Raw genomic sequence first — 16,802 nt, forward strand, 5'->3', positions numbered from 1 at the left:
ATATCATGCTGGAGGAATGTAATTCTCTGCAAGCCTGGATGCTGGAACTGCCTGTTTTAACCTGAAACCAGTTTTATTGAATAGCTACTGAAACAATCTGCTGCAGCTCTAAAACTAGTTTTACTCACTTCTGTCACTCACCAATCAGAGTTTGTGAGCTCCCCAAAACTTTAAGGTGCCAATAAGCTTTCTTGCAAAACAACATGCAACATTTCTGCTTTTTAGAAAACTTCCAACCTTCTCTTTGTTTTTCGGCCATACAGAAGATCATCTAGTCTGTGGGTATGCCCCAAACTGCAATTATTACTTCCCAAATAAAACATTTTAAGTAGGGAGATGTATCTTTGCAAGATGTATTTGATTTGACTTTTAACAACTAAGAACTTCGAAGATTTATTTTAAACAACACTGATCAAAGTAACAACAACATTAACAACAATAACACAATACCACTTTATATTTATGCTGGGTGTGTAGTTTTGCTTTTCAAAGAGCTTTTATTCATAGTCTTAATTGATCATTATGATAACCTATAAGGCATATATGGCAAAGAATTTTACTACCTCCATCTTATAAATAAGTACACTGAGAATTAAAATAAAAAGACAATGCAATAGCACACAGCTTTGATGGCTATAATCACTTTGCTGTTCTGCAAATAGGAGAAAAACTCAGGCCTACTTAAGGGTTCTAGAAGGATTATGTTAATCAAAACTATCTTTTTATGTTTTGGGATTCTATGCAGTGTTTTTTCTCTGCATGTTCCAGGTTCTCTAAACAAATGTTAGGAATTTGGTTAAGTGGGATTTATTCACAAATTGGGTCTTACTATTCTCCTGTATCTAAGTGAATTAAATAGTTTAGAAAGAGAAGAGAATATGTGGCAATCAAGGGTTAAAGTAAAGAATTTGTGTTTCATGGACTGTAAAAGGGTAGAGGGGGGCATGTCAAGGAGAACCAACGTAAACATGAATGTTATGTGGCCTGCTGTGGCATGAGGGATAAAATCCTTTGTGTCTAATCCAGGAATCGTGTGTCTTCTACCGGAATCCATGAATCTGAGGCTAACATGCTAGCTTGCAATCAGGGTAAAATCTTAGATTCTTCATTGTTCTTGACATAAGAATTTTTCTTTTTATTCTTAGCTCTGATTTCCAAATTCTCCCAAGGCGTAAGGCATCATTAATTGTAATAATTCTATCCCTGCCCAAGCCTTCCAGATGTAATCAGTAGTTATATCACAAAGAAACCACATTATCAATGCAGACTATCAGTTTTCTTTAGGTTCATGATAATAGGCTAGCTAGCAATATCTATTATAAAGAAAACATTTAATGTGCCAAGTCGTAATCCAGATAAGACAGCAGCTTAGAAGTTCAAAATGCATGGTCTTTTCCCCGGCATTAAACAAGGTCTCTACAAAGCATTTGTTTTATAATTAATTTTTACAAATTATGGTGTCTCCACTTGAGGAGCTTCTTGAATGTAGAAAGAATAATTTCACATACAGAAAGGAACAATACCTAGAACAGAATAGGGTGTAGAGTTTATGCTCAAAATTATTTGTTGACTGGTTACTGGAATTAACAGAGATTGGCATTATTGCAGTGAGAGATTCTATTTGTGGGGGCTGTATAAATCCTTCAGGAAAACCACATCCTTTCAACTGGCTAAGCAGCTAATTCTCTTCTTTGATCACCCAAGGACATGGATAAAGTTGCAAAAGACAAAAAGATAAAAGACAAAGACAAAAAGATAAAAGATAAAGACAAAGGGATATGTAGACAGAACGAAGAGAGTCAAAGTTCCACCTACACTCAAAAGAGTGAATATATAAAGACCTATATATATTATTCTGTTCCAGTGCATAATGTGACTGAATCTACATAGCACTTGGGTGTTTGAGCACAGCCAAAAATTGCTTTTAGTATATTAACAAGTGATGGAATTGGACACTTTACTTCAGAGTTGTGCTTTGAACTATGTATTTGAAAACTGATACAAAACCTGTAATTCTACTGCCAGAACCATTTCTAGCAAAAATTCTACAGTATGATCTCACCAATAAAAAATTGACAAAGTAATAAATAATCCTATAATTTAACCAGGATCAAAAGTAAAATAACATGAATCATGGTATGCTTGTCATGGAACTATTAATTTTTACACATACTGTGGTACCTGCTGTGAGAACAATGAAATCAGAAGGCCTATGCATGAATCTCCAAGGCACTACAAAAGAAAATATGCATTCCAGAATTATTTTTCTTTGGCAAAAACTGGCTGGAGTTAATGTCCAGGTCATAATGTTGGGAAGTAGGAAATGCTGCTAATAAACTTTTTTTTTTTTAATTTATTTTAGTTTGAATTATCTCAGATTGGGAACTCAGCTCAGCTTCTGGACTCAAGACATATTCCTGACCTCAGTTTAATAACCTGTGGTGTGCATGAAGAAGTTCTGATGTTTCTGACTTTGCTTTTTCTCTTTTCAAACCCAGTGTGGTGATCTATTCTAAATTAATTTTTCCCTCAATTGATGCTTTGCTGTCAACTGCATCAGAATTATAACTTAGTCATAATAGCATTTGTCCTGGAACAAAAAAAATAAAATAAAATGTCTTTCTATTATTTCTGCTTATCTAATATTGAGAAATATTTGTTTGTTTATTTCTTCATTTTGGGCATCCAGATTCTCTTATTGCCTCTTTATTTGAGCAGGGAGAGAGAAAAGAACCAAAAAGAAAACATGAAGTTGTGGTTTGCTGGATCTCTTTATATAAGCTCGCCTATACCGGAAGACTGTGTGAAAAATGCTGCGATAGGTTTTGATTTTTCTCCTTTAGATCATAGCAGGATGACCTTTCATTACATAAAGTGGTCTTCTGAGCAGCCAACCTAAGTGGTACATAATCTTCTGTGAGTTCCTATGCACAGAGGGCCATAAATATTCATCTGGATGGGCTTCTAAACTTTTTACTGCCTTAAACTTTTTACTACACATTAGATTGCATATATCCTAGAACATAAGGCTTGTCACAGCCAAGCAGATAAATGGTTCACCATAGTGAAGTCCTGTTTCTTGACAGAGGAATATATCTGGGGCTCCAGAAGGTGATAAAGATCACAGAGTACCATTGACACATAATTGTGCAATGCTGTCCCTTGGATAACCAATGTTTTTGCAATGTTCAAGTTGCTCTCCTGGGAGTAAGGCACATTGAAAAATTCTGTCTTATTTTTAGGCCACTAAAGAAGAATTAAAAGAATTACTGTTTCTTTAGACAAAATAATCTTGCTGGAGTTTTTGAAGTTGTTGTTAATAGTGACTCACTGTCTTTGGAATCTAACTTACTTTTTGGGATTGTTCATGTCTTCATTTATTAATATTCTATATTGTGTTTTTTTCCCACAAACATGTTGAGAGAAATATAAAGTTTGCTTGGTAATTGATCACCTAGCTTTACACATGCTTCTCAGGGGTAGTAAGTTCCAAGTTACTATGCTACAACTGACATCATTTCTAGTTGTGAGAGGATTTGACCATGACGGACAAGATTCAAAAAGACAAAGAGTCCAGCCTACTCTCATTCTTGATTCCTTCCAAGCATGGCATTAGAATTCATCCTTAATCAATCATGTAGCATGTCAATATTTTTCTGCTGGGTACATGCCTTTGCTGGCATAGCCTTATGTTGCAAGTTCATTGAGAAACAGTCATTGGTGTTTAGCCCAGCTTGAACATTTGCCAGTGGATTTTTGTTCATTTGATGTCAATTTAACAAGGATGGCTGAAACCAGGAAGATCATGTCACAATGGCTGCAACTTTGTTTTGCTTGTTTGACTCAGATTGCACAGTTAATCCAGCTAATTCCAGTTCACATGACTATAATCTAGACTGAACTAAATCAGACATCCAGAAGAATCAACAGTAATGAGAGGTTAGTGGCATACTGATATTTCCTATGCACTACTCTACTCAGCAACCATGAATTCCATTTGTAGTTGTCTGCAGTTTATTTTTTTCATCTGCAAACTAAGGCTAACATATCTTTGAAAAACCTTTACAATTAAATAAAAAGGAACTGAAATAATTTCTATAAACATACTTTGTGTTCTTTCTTTGCATGAAATGAGTTACTATATTATTCCCCTTAATATTTCCTAATATATTTGAAAGGAAGCTAGGCAAGTTGCAGGCTATATTAGAAGATATAGCAGAATTTTTAACAGCCAAATGCAACTACAAATTCTCAAATAAGCACTTATTTGTGTTGATTTAACATTGTCTAGTGCAATGAGTATAGACAAAATCCTCTTTCTTTTCCCTTTTATTGCATTGGGGTTACCTCATGCATGAATTATAGATATTAGAAAGAGACCAACAGTCTCAGAAAAAAATTTCTCTACTTTCACCAGGTGTAAAATCACATGTGTACCACCATGATAACAGATTTTCTAACATCAGCTTGGTAAACAACATTGTATATAGTATTTCCTTACAAGCCAAAGTCATTTAAATTTTATTTACACAGAGATATGCAGTGATAGCCTGGGTTATTTAGAAATAAATACTCTTCTCTTTCTGTTGTTTTTTTCCATAGTTAAGCATCAATCTGAATCATTTCACGTGCTACTGAAGCGTGTGCTTAGCTAGAGTTCCTATTAAGATATTTGTATCTGTGGCTTCCAAGAAACTACTGAACATGTTTTGTTGTTTTTGGTTTGGCAATTAGGGCAAAGAAGAAACTACATAAGGCAGAGTAAGGATGAAAGGTTGGAGATACAAAAAAGGAGGGAATGGTAGTCACTGCTGAGGAAAACCAATACTGAAAACCCATTCGTGCATCTGGAGAAGGTGACAGGACTATTTACTTATGTATTTATTTATTTTTGAGATGGGGTCTTGCTCTGTCACCTAGGCTGGAGAGCAGTGGCACATACAATCACATTTCACTGCAGCCTCAACCTCCTAGGCTCAAGAGAGCCCCTGACTCATCCTCCTGAGTACTTGGGTCTACAAGCGTGCACCACCATGCCTGGCTCATTTTTTATTTTCTTTTTTCAAGACACAAGATCTCACTATGTTCCCCAAGCTGGTCTTGAACGCCTGGATTCAAGCAATCTTCCCACTTCAGGCTCTCAAAGTGTTGGGATTACAGCTGTGAGCCACCACACTTGGCCAGACAGGGCCATTTCTAATAGAGTACAGTACCCAAGCAAATATCTCTGTGTGTCCTCTCCCACCATGATATTTAAACACAGGTGAGCTTTGTTAAAATAAACATAAAGGACAAGCTTGATCAAAAGGTACGATGTAACTATGAGGTGTAATAGTCAGTAAAGTATAAAAGTGAGCAATTAAGACAATTTTTCAGTCTCAGGTTCTTAAGTGGATGTGAGGAGAAGCATCTGCCATTGACTTGGTGATACCCAGAATATGGTATAGGAGGGCTTTAGATGTGTCTATTACAAGTACAGGTGGAGATGCCACAGGCTTCTCTCCTCAGGGACTACAGACTAGGTTAAGGGTCAGTGTATACCCCAGTGAGCCTTTCTTCCTACATTCCACTTGCACTGTGGGCGAAAGGAGCAAGCTTTAAACTCGCAGAGGACTGATTCGTAACTCATCTTTCATTTTCTTTTGAGCCACAGAATGTACATGGAAATAGGAAATTGATATATATAACAATTCATTTAAGTCATGATAAAGGCTTTGTAGGATTTTACTTCCTAAGTTTTTTTAGTGATAATTCTTTTTGTTTTTACTTCTGCTTATCCCAGCTCACTTTCATATTGATAGTGTTTTTCCTCTCATCTTTTCCCTGTAGTCTACAATGTTGATTTTTTCATTTATTTATCAATCTGTCAATATCTTTCCTATATCAATATAGATATGTTCACCTAAAAGCAACCCATACATTTTTAATGGAGCATAAGAATGAAAGAAATAGGAAATATAATTTGAAGGCCAATGATCCACTAATTATGATCCACATAACCGAAATTAAAAAACCAAGTAGAAAATTTTAACCTCAAAATACTATTCAAATGTTAGTACATGATGAATGCAAGTCCCCTCCCCCTGTAACTTCCTACAATGATAAAGAACAAACATAAAAACTTATCAGATCTCTGAGAGTTTGGCCTCTTGATCATTGTGTTGACATTATCATAAGGGAATTTTCACTTTTTGCAAGGCCAATAAAACTAGATTTAAAAATTCATTCATAAGTCCTTCTAAGTTATGCCACTGGAAATTGAATAAGCCTGTAAGCTGTCCATCTTTTTTTTTTGTTTTTATACTTTAAGTTCTAGGGTACATGTGCACAACGTGCAGGTTTGTTACATATGTATACAAGTGCCATGTTGCTGTGCTGCACCCGTTAACTTGTTATTTACATTAGGTATATCTCCTAATGCTATCCCTCCTCCGTCCCCCACCTCACAACAGGCGCCAGTGTGTGATGTTCCCCACCCTGTGTCCAAGTGTTCTCATTGTTCAATTCCCACCTATGAGTGAGAACACGTGGTGCTTGGTTTTCTGTCCTTGCGATAGTTAAAGCCTGTCCATCTTTAGGTAAGCAGGGAGATCCTTTGCTCCTGCGGCACAGACTATAAGGTCTGTAACTACCAAAATAAGAGCACTTTTTGTGCTACCTCCCATCTTTAAGAGGAAGTTTATGGGTAGAGCAAAGGCATGATGAGACCAGGCAGAAGTCCCTGAAAGCTACTCTGTGTGTGCGTGTGCGTGCGCACGCATATGCATGTGCATGTACTTTTCATCTTTTCAAAATGTCAGAGTCATTCAATTGGGCTAGCAGGAATTTCATTTTATGCCAGGAAAACAACTTTAAAAGACTCCTTGGTAGAAACTGAAAAATTAAACTAGCAAATGTACACATAAAGCATATCTTTTCTCCCAGTAACTAAGATAAGATTCAGCCTAGCAGCCAACTTGGCAGACTTTAAGTTGTTCAAAGTCATGCTTAATCCCTGCCTGTTGGCAAACTGTGGATCTTGATAGGTTTCTTTCATTTCTGATGATAAACAATAAAATAAGAATTAAAAAATAATACCACAGAATAAAGAAACGGAAACAATCACCTGGTGACTCAGAGAAAGTTTACCTCTGAGAACTATCTTCCACAGAAATCAACTTACTGGCAATTTACAAATTTCCATTACTAAAGAAAAAAAAACCTTACTAGAAAGGTAAAATTCATATTTGTGTTCTGAAGTATGTAATTACAGAATAGAATAGGTACAAATTTGTAGAATTTTAAAGGGAGATTTTGTTCAGCCAAGAATTAATATGCAGAAGAAATGCTGTTTACATAAAAAAGTACAGGAGGCATATTTGGAGCTCAGCAATATATACAGTCATCCCTCGATATCCAGGGGGGATTGATTCCAGGATCCCTTATAAATGCCAAAATCCATGGATACTCACATCCTTTATATAAAATAGTGCAGTATTTGCATATAACCTACACATATCCTTTCATATACTTTAAATCATTTCTAGATGACTTATAATACCTAATACAAGGCAAATACTATGTAAATAGTTTCCATACTATATTGCTTAGGAAATAATTACAAGAAAGAAAGTGTAAGTGTTCAGTACAGAGGGTCCACTGTATTCTACATAGTCTTCTTGAAGAAGTTATTTCAAGATATATTCCATCTATCCTACACACCAGTGAAATGAATAAATGAACAATGGAGTGCTAAAAGTTTAAGTACTAAGCAATACAAGTAGTGAAACAGTGATCTAGGCCTAAAAATATTGTAAAATTAACAAACTAAATATAAATGTCAAACATATTTTTATTAAAAAAGGACTTATTTTTGGTAATTCAAAGTCATATTCTTGGTCAGATATGCTAATTTTATAATAAGTGAAATTGAAGAAGATGAGAAAAGTAGTAGAAAAGAAACCAAAGTTCTCATGTCCGGTAGTTGGAACTTAAAATAATAATAAAATAATTTAAAACTGAGGGTATTATTCCAAATACCTAAAGAAGATGTAACAATGTCCAATTGTTATGTCTAATAGACATAAACTACATGGTAAAACACATAAAAGGTCATAAATGGTAACAGAAACAGACAATTACCTATAACAATGCATCATAAATAATCCCAAATATCAACTAAAAAGAAAATAAATGGTTTGAAAGGCAGTCATTAAAAATTATGTTTACAAAGATATTTGGTTACATGATAAGATGCTTATGCTCATATTAAGTAAAAATGACAGAATTTGGGGTCTAAATTCCAAATGTTCTACTTACTAATTATGTGAACTTGCAAAGTAATTAGCTTAAAAGTCTAAATTGTAAATTGTAAAATGAGATGGTGATACGGTTTGGCTGTGTCCCCACCCAAATCTTGAATTGTAACTCCCACAATTCCCACATGTCATAGGAGGAATCCAGTGGGAGGTAACTGAATTATGGGGACAAGTCTTTCTCATGTTGTTCTCATGATAATGAATAAGACTCATGAGATCTGATTATTTTAAAAACAGGGATTTCCCTGCACAAGCTCTCTTCTCTTGCCTGCCACCATCCATGTAAGATGTGACTTGCTCCTCCCTGCCTTCCATCATGCTTGTGAGGCCTCCTGAACTATGTAAGCCCATTAAACCTCTTTCTTTTGTAAATTGCCAGTCTTGGGTATGTCTTTATCAGCAGTGTAAAAATGGACTAATGCAGATAGTAATAGTACCTTCCTTACACAGTTTTTGTAAAGACTAATACAAATCACAAACTGTATTACAAAATGCCACATCCATACCAGTGTAAGCATTCACTCAATCTTACCTACAATTATTATCACTGGTAGTAAAAATAAATGCCAATGATATATCATTATAAGAAACTCTATTAAGATTTCTTAGCGGTTTATTTCTGAATAGTGGCATTGTAAGTGGATTTTTTCTGTTTAAGGTATTTTCTCATATGTCTTAAATCTTAAATATCTTTTGAAAAATGCATCTTTTCTTCATCAGAAGAGATAAGATGTTATTGATAAATTGAAGTTCTTTTTATTACACTTATCCCTCCTCTCTCACAAGAGACAATCATTATAAGTGATAAAATAAATACACGAAATGTTTATTCAGCAATTTGTGATGGTTAATTTTATATGCCAACTTGACTGGTACATGGGGTGCTCAGATGTTTGGTCACACATTATCCTAGGACTATCTGTTAGAGTGCTGTGGATGAGATTAACATTTGAATTAGTAAAGTGAGTGAAGTAGACTGCCCTCAGTCGTGTAGATGAACTTGCTCCAATCAGTTGGCCAGAGTGGAACAAAAAGGCTGAACCTGTCACAGGCAAAATAAACGTCAACTGCCTGATTATTTGAACTGTGACATTGGTTTCTTCCTGTCTTTGGACATAAACTGAACCATCAGCACTTCCTGGGTCTGTCTGAAGCCTGCTGACATTTGGACCAGATGTACACCATGGACTCTCATGGATTTCCAGCTTGCCACCTGCAGATCTTAAGACTCATCAGTTTTTATAATTTATAATTACACAAGGCAATTCCTTATAATAAATCTTCTCTCTATGTATTATATACATCCTATTAGTTCTGTTTTTCTGAAGAACTCTAACACACAATTCAAGATTAAACCTTTCTAAAAGTGTTATATAGTTCTCAATACATAGATAGCATTGTTGGTGTTATTGTGCTGAAGGGGCACCACATGGGGTAGAAGGAATCAGTTTCAAAAGTCATAACAGAATAATAAGATGCAGTAAATTGAGAAATGTCAGCAAAAGTTAATAAAATTGCCTTTAATCCAGATCAATCAATCCAGTTAATTCACTATTTGGATAGTCTGTAAATTCTTTACAAGTCTTTTTCCCTCCCTCCTTGCTCTTCACCACTTAATACAGACAACTGAGTCAGGAAGCCATTTAAAGTCATTGTAGGCCTATGTTGTGCGTCAACTTACCATCTATCTAATCAACAACAATGCATTTTTAGTTGCCACTGCTTATAGTGAAGTTCTCTTATGCTTCTGTGGCATATACTTATTTAATTTTTTTACTAAATCACCCATAGCAGTGAACTCCATGAAACACCATCATTGTCAATATTCATCTATATATTCAAAATTAATCAGTTAATAATTTATAGTCTAAAAAGAATTATATCTAAATAATTATCTGAATTTCTCTTTCCAAGTGTCATTTTAATTCCTTTAGTTTCTTCTGCTTCTAGTCTTCAGAAAGAGCCCGATAAACAAATAAGGGTAACTTGAAAAGAACTTACATGTGCAAGTTGTCCCATTTTCATCCAAAAGTTGATTATCGGCACAAGCACACACCCGGCCTCCTGGGATAGCCAAGCAAAGTGTACTACAGCCCCCATTATTTACTCGGCACATATTGTCACCTGCAAGAGGAAGAAAGCAAATGTGTCAGAGAACTCTGATTCACGTTCTTTCTAGGAGGTGAACATAGATGTAATTACATACACTTATATATGCTATGTATATTATATATTTAGTAATATAGTGAAGATTTCTGTTGAATCATAACTAAATTCAATAATGTTTGAAAATAGGTGGTGCATTGGTAGATAAGGAGAATTTTCTCATTAATTGGAGGAGATAGAGGTCTGAGTGAAGTTAGGTTCTAGGTGAGAGAAGAGAAAGAACAGAATGGTATCTGTCTTCGATAGTTTTCCAGATTAGGCCTATTGTATTCAAGTCTGAGTTCTTTGGAAAGTAGACCACTGGCTCTCAGAATGTGGCTTTGGATTCCCAGGGAACAGAAAGCAAGTGAGGGTTGGGAGCAAGGGTAGGGTATTCTTTTCTCTTGTGCAGTATACACCGGAAAGGCAGTGTATTGAGGACTCCAGGAATCATAGGACATCTGTGAAGACCCAAAAATGAGCAGGCTTGCTGGTATAAGGTGAATGTACAGTTCACCAGGGCGAAAGTGTTCTCCCAGTGGATCTAAAAAGCAGAGGCACTAACGAGGTATACAACAGACATAAATTAAGCAGGCATGAGAGGAAATTTATGAATAACATACATTATTCATGAACGTATGTGAGGCACCCTTGCAGACTCTCAGATAAAATCGAGTAATTATTTTTAAATCGACAAGTAACAATTGTTCATAGTCATAGTGATGTTTCAGTAAACGTAATGTATAGTAATCAGATCAGGGTAATTGGCATATCCATAATCTCAAACATTTATTATTTCTTTATGTTGGGAACATTCAATATCCACCTTCCAGATATTTGAAACTATATATCATCGTTAACTATAATCATCCCACAGTGGTATAGAACGTTGGAACTTACTCCTCCTATCTAGCTGTAACGTTGTATCCTTTAACAATTGTAAAGGTGTCGGTATGAATAAATACAATTTAGATTGCCAATTAGTCTTACAGGTTGGAAAGGAAAGGAAGAAAGTGTATTTACACTTGCGCATCACTTAATGATGGGCATACATACTAAGAAATGTGTAATCACATCATTGTGCGAACATCATAAAGCATCCTTACACAAACCGAGATAGTAGAGCCTGCTGTGCACCTAAACTATACGGTGCTAAAAAATTTTAGCTAGAAAAATATTTTCTGTAAAAATATCCTCTTTAAAACATGTTTAAGTGACCACTTTTCAAACACAGTGCTAAAAAATTTTATACCTATATATCATATATTTCTTCTAGGCTACAAACCTGTACATAGCATGCTACGGTACTGAATACTGTAAACAATTATAACACAATGATAATAGCATTTCTGTATCTAAACATATAAAAGTTACAGTAAAAATACATTATTATTACCTTATAGGACCATCACCATACATGCAGTCCATCATTGACTGAACCATCTCTATGCCACGTATGACTCTACTTATCTATAAATGTGTCAAACTTTAAAAAGAACTCAACACTAGCAATACAATAGGTAATGTAATTGTAGGGTCATATTACTCTATGTTGCAGCTTGTTGAAAGCATCAATAAATAACATTTTTTATATCAGAATATTTTACTGAAACATTAAAAATAAAGAGCTTTTAATTACTTAGAGCCATACGATAAGAGAATAAAATGATTAAAGTGCAAATACCAGAAACGTGATTAAAGTGACAGACTAGGTTATTATACTGAGGCTCAGAGGTTGGATGTGCTATACGGAGGATAATAAGAAGTAAGAAAAAAACTCTAAAATGCTCCTCTATACAAATAAATATTCAACACATTACCACAGGTTATCATTGAGTGCCCGTAGATCAGAACAAATGACCTAAAGTATATTATCATTTCATTATCTTGAAAAATAAATTTAATTCACTATGTTTATAACAAATTAAAAAATACATATGAAAGCCAAGAAAGCTAATAATGCATGCTACAGTATCAATTTCTGAATTCAGAGGGTAATTAAGCCTAATACAGGGTTTTTTTAATAGGAAATGCATAAATGCTTTAAGCAGCTTCCAGATAACGTCATGTTTATTCCATGGCCATGGAATAAAAATGCAATGCTTCATAGGATGCACTGTTATTCTATGTTGTACACATTCTGTACAGGATGAAATTGTATATTTAATATTTTAGTAGCATTCAGATTCTGGAAAATTAGAATTAATTCAACATATTTTGAGAAATATATAAAGAATTTAAACAGTCAGAAATAAGGAATTACTGACATTTTGAAACGTTGAAATTATATGCTAAATATCATACTCCTTAATTCAGTGGTATGCCTCATACCATTCTAAATGAATATGAAATTTAAGTATTTAAAAATAAATTGGCATTATTCAAACTTTGAAATATATTTCTTTTCTGTGAATACTACATATTAAGAGAGAGGAATTGGTTATTTGTTCTGTCATAATAGAAATCCAAAATCTAAATTAATTTGAATAATTCCATATCTCTCCTCAGAAGGGCTTAGATCTTTATTTTAATAGTGACCCAACGTATTTTTGAATTTCATTAATATGTTCCAGATAGATCTCATATGATAGTATTTTTTGAAGTTCTGAGAACTAGAAAAATATTTTATGTAAAAATATCCTCTTTAAAACATGTTTAAGTAACTACAAATATGGTGCTAAAAATTTTTATACCTATATATCAATTAAAAGGTCATTAACATATTAATAGCTGCTGTTAATGAAAACTTATAAGCAATCCCACAGCTAGTTACTTTACATATACATTATATTTTATTCAATTTTTTTAAAATAAAATTACAAGGAAGGTTTTATCTCATTTGCAAGTAGGAATACTGAATATGTGATCGTCTAAATGACCCTTCCAATATGTAGAAATAGGAAATAATTCTTATTAAATTATCATTTATTTCTAATCATTATAATTATTTATAAATAATTAGAAATAAGATTTTCTTACTCCAAAATTGTGCTCTCAAACACTAACTTATTTATATATAAAATAAAATTAGATCGAAAAAGACATACTAAATATACCAAAACCAACAAAAGTCTATTACTTTCAGGAAGCAGATAGTTTTTAAAAATCAAATATGTAAGGAAAGCAAATGAAGAATAGCTTTCATTATCTAGTTGAAGAAGGCCTTCTGGCTTCATCAAAAACTTTGTCTTTCTTTTTCCCAATCTTGTATCTTCCAGAAGCAAAATTATATTCTACACCTTGCAAATAGTGCCCAGCATAGAGTGTGTTTGATAAATATTAGTTAAATAAGTAAGTGGTGAATGCAACTTTTAGTTAGCAGTTTGAATGACAAGAACAATCATTTGGAGTGCAGGCACAGGTACAAGTTTGTGGATAGATACAACTTCCAAAGAATGGGAGTAAAGACACAAATAATATGTGAAAACATTTCACAAGCCTATATTAACATCTCAATGTTTTTAGACCTTAGCAGTTTAACTTTTGTTAATAAAGTATCTTTTTTTGAGCAAATGAGAGAATACAGAAATCAGCGCAAAAGAATTCCATTGTTTCAGTCTTTCCTTAATCTGAATTTTCTTCAAAATGGTGGAACAAAGAAACCTCCTTTTCTATATGTGTCCTGGACTCTTGACTTCTCAGTGTCTTATCACAGGCAAAGTGAGAATTCTCTGCAGTTAATATAAAATATGTGAAACTATGGGGATTCTCTTTTTTTTTTTTCTAACTAACATAGAGATACTCGAGCTTGTAGTTTAGAAGAGGCAGCAGATACCCCATTTATTCCAAAAGTTAGATAAAGGCTGAGAGAGTGAGATCCTGAGGCCAGATGAATTATGCATTTAATCTAGCATAATTTCAGAAGAATTGACTTTGAACGATGTCAGTCAATCTGAAGAAAGGATAAAATGCTTCTTACTTTTTTTCTCTTTCAGAATCAGATGCTCCTTGAAGACTGTGTTTATATTTGACATGCTTTGAAGCCACTTATGTAAGTGTGTGTGTGTAACTATATTAAGATACTCCTTTGTTTTGGCGGGGAGGTTTGGTGATTATCTCAAAAATGGGAAATATAAAAAGAAAGAAAAATGTAGTTATGATGGTCCTACCACCAAACCTAAAGCTTATTAAACCTATAAAATAATGTGATTAATAAATATGTCATACATTAAATAAAAACTGCTATGTCTGTTATACTAGTCCTGTGTAATCTAAAATCTCTAAATCCTGGATTCTATAAAAGTAGTCAAGGGGAACTTTATATTAAAAATATATATTTGAATGCAAAATTTATCAGTGATAAAATTACAATGACCAAAAAAGATTCACATTCTTTTTCTTCTATCTAAAAGTATAGTAGATATAAAATTTTGAGAAATTAAATTGGCCACACAAATTAAACATAGAAAAATACTTTCTGGTCAAACAGATCTGAATCTGAATCTTAGTTTTATCCCTGGCTTACTGTGTTTCTTGAGGGCCAATGGCTATGTCTGTCTGATCCTTGGCTTTCTCATATGTAAAATATAAATCAATAGTACCTATTTTAAATATATGTTGTGAAAATTAAATAACAATGCTTAGTCCACTTCCCTGTAGTTTTAACAATTACAGCTAGTTCTTAGTTAATAAATGTCTTCTATTTGTCATAAAATAATAGGATACATTTAATCAACCCTTATTAAAATATTACTTAGTTTTGATTATCTCATTCCCCAAAATGTGCAAAAAATCAAAGTGTGCTTTTGAACCTAGAAAATAAAAAGGAAAGTCTGTTATTTTACACAATTGCTGCTCTTTATATGAGGAGGAGAAGAAAAAAGCTTTAAAACTTGTTCTAGATATCTAATGTTAATGAAAAAGGAAAGCTTATACATTTTACCAAAAGAAATCACAGTAATATATGAGAAAAATATCTTTACACTAAATCCCCAAGAATTACTTAAGAATTCTTTCCTAGAGGTAGCTTTCTGTTTAATATGTTATCTATTTATATCTACCTTCCTGAAATTCACTGGTATATTCCAAGTAATTTGACAAGTCTCTTTTTTTTTTAGACAGAGTTTTGCTCTGTAACTCAGGCTGGAGTGCAGTGGAACATTCTCGGCTCACTGCAACCTCCACCTCCCAAGTTTAAGTGATTCTCCTGCCTCAGCCTCCCGAGTAGCTAGGATTACAGTCTCCTGCCACCACCCCTGGCTAATTTTTGTATTTTTAGTAGTGACAGGGGTTTCACCATACTGGCCAGGCTGGTCTCGAACTCCTGACCTCAGGTAACCCACCCACCTCAGCCTGCCGAAGTGCTGGGATTACAGGCATTAGCCTCTGTGCCTGGCTATTGACAAGTCTCTTCTAATATGAGGAGTAAGGGGAGATCTGATTAGTTGACTAATTTTCTGACACTGAGTCTAAAATATTTATAAATTACATTATTAGCATTCCTGAATATTTTTCATGGTGGTCTTGTCAGATGGTGTGTGTGTGTGTGTGTGTGTGTGTGTGTATTAATACTATCTATCCATATGTATAAAAAATATAAATAAATATAGTTTTTATATATATATAAATAACATCATATAATTTGTATTCTCTCAGAGAGAGAGAGAGAGAGAGAGAGAGACTGTATGGTTATATAAGATTAGTTTATTTTATTCCATTAGGCAAAGGAGATATGTACTACTTAGAGATTTGATTTTCTCTTCAATTGCTATATTTTATCCATAGGGAAAAAAAAAAACAGTCTAACAGGACAATATGAAACCATTTATAGGACACAGATCATCTACTTTCAAATATGTATTAATGTCTGAGATTCAAAAGATGCAAAGAGTAACACCATTGAGAGAAAATTATAATAATTAAGACAAACTGCTCACAACTGAACATCGGAATGCATTTTGCTTTACAATTCAGCTGCTTTGATCAATGTAGTAAAAGATACTAAAAATTTAGAACTCAATTAGATTATCTAATATCAATGTCTCTTGACTGAGAAAAAATGGTATTAACCAGGAATTTAATTTCTATATTGTATTGCTTGATCAAACATATAGTTAAGTACTAGGTAATTCTTAGCTACATGAAGAAGTGGTAGAAAACACAAATCAATTTATTAATTCACCTAAGTTAATAAAAATTATCAATCAGTTATTCTCAATACATTCACTCAGTAAACAAAACATTATGGTTTCTACAATAAAAGTTGAAAAAGAATTTAGTAATCAGAGCTCAGTTTTTATTTTAATGTCCCTTCAATTAAAATGGGGAAAAGCACTTTTAAAAGATCATTGTCCATCTAAGGAATAACATTGCACTATTATACATCAATGGCACCTTTCAGAACACCAAAAATATTCTCTA

The 16,802-nt window shown here is 33.7% G+C and overlaps 1 protein-coding gene across 3 annotated transcripts in view, besides 1 other annotated feature; it reads right to left on the reverse strand.

The window, feature by feature from the left end:
- The window catches only part of LRP1B (LDL receptor related protein 1B), a 1,899,594-nt gene that overhangs the window by 763,614 nt on the left and 1,119,178 nt on the right, over positions 1–16,802 (reverse strand). For all 3 annotated transcript variants that reach the window (NM_018557.3, XM_017004341.2, XM_047444771.1), the window contains exon 15: positions 10,299–10,421. In NM_018557.3, coding sequence (NP_061027.2) covers positions 10,299–10,421 — 123 coding nt within the window. The remainder of the gene's footprint in view (positions 1–10,298; positions 10,422–16,802) is intronic.
- Positions 3,131–3,331: a silencer, noted in NCBI's record as "peak3885 fragment used in MPRA reporter construct". NCBI's record gives its function as "represses an SCP1 promoter by STARR-seq MPRAs in K562 erythroleukemia cells {active_cell/tissue: K562}" and the evidence as "EXISTENCE:reporter gene assay evidence [ECO:0000049][PMID:32103011]".

The sequence above is a fragment of the Homo sapiens genome, chromosome 2, assembly GCF_000001405.40.
Source record: "Homo sapiens chromosome 2, GRCh38.p14 Primary Assembly".
Lineage (NCBI taxonomy): Eukaryota > Metazoa > Chordata > Mammalia > Primates > Hominidae > Homo > Homo sapiens.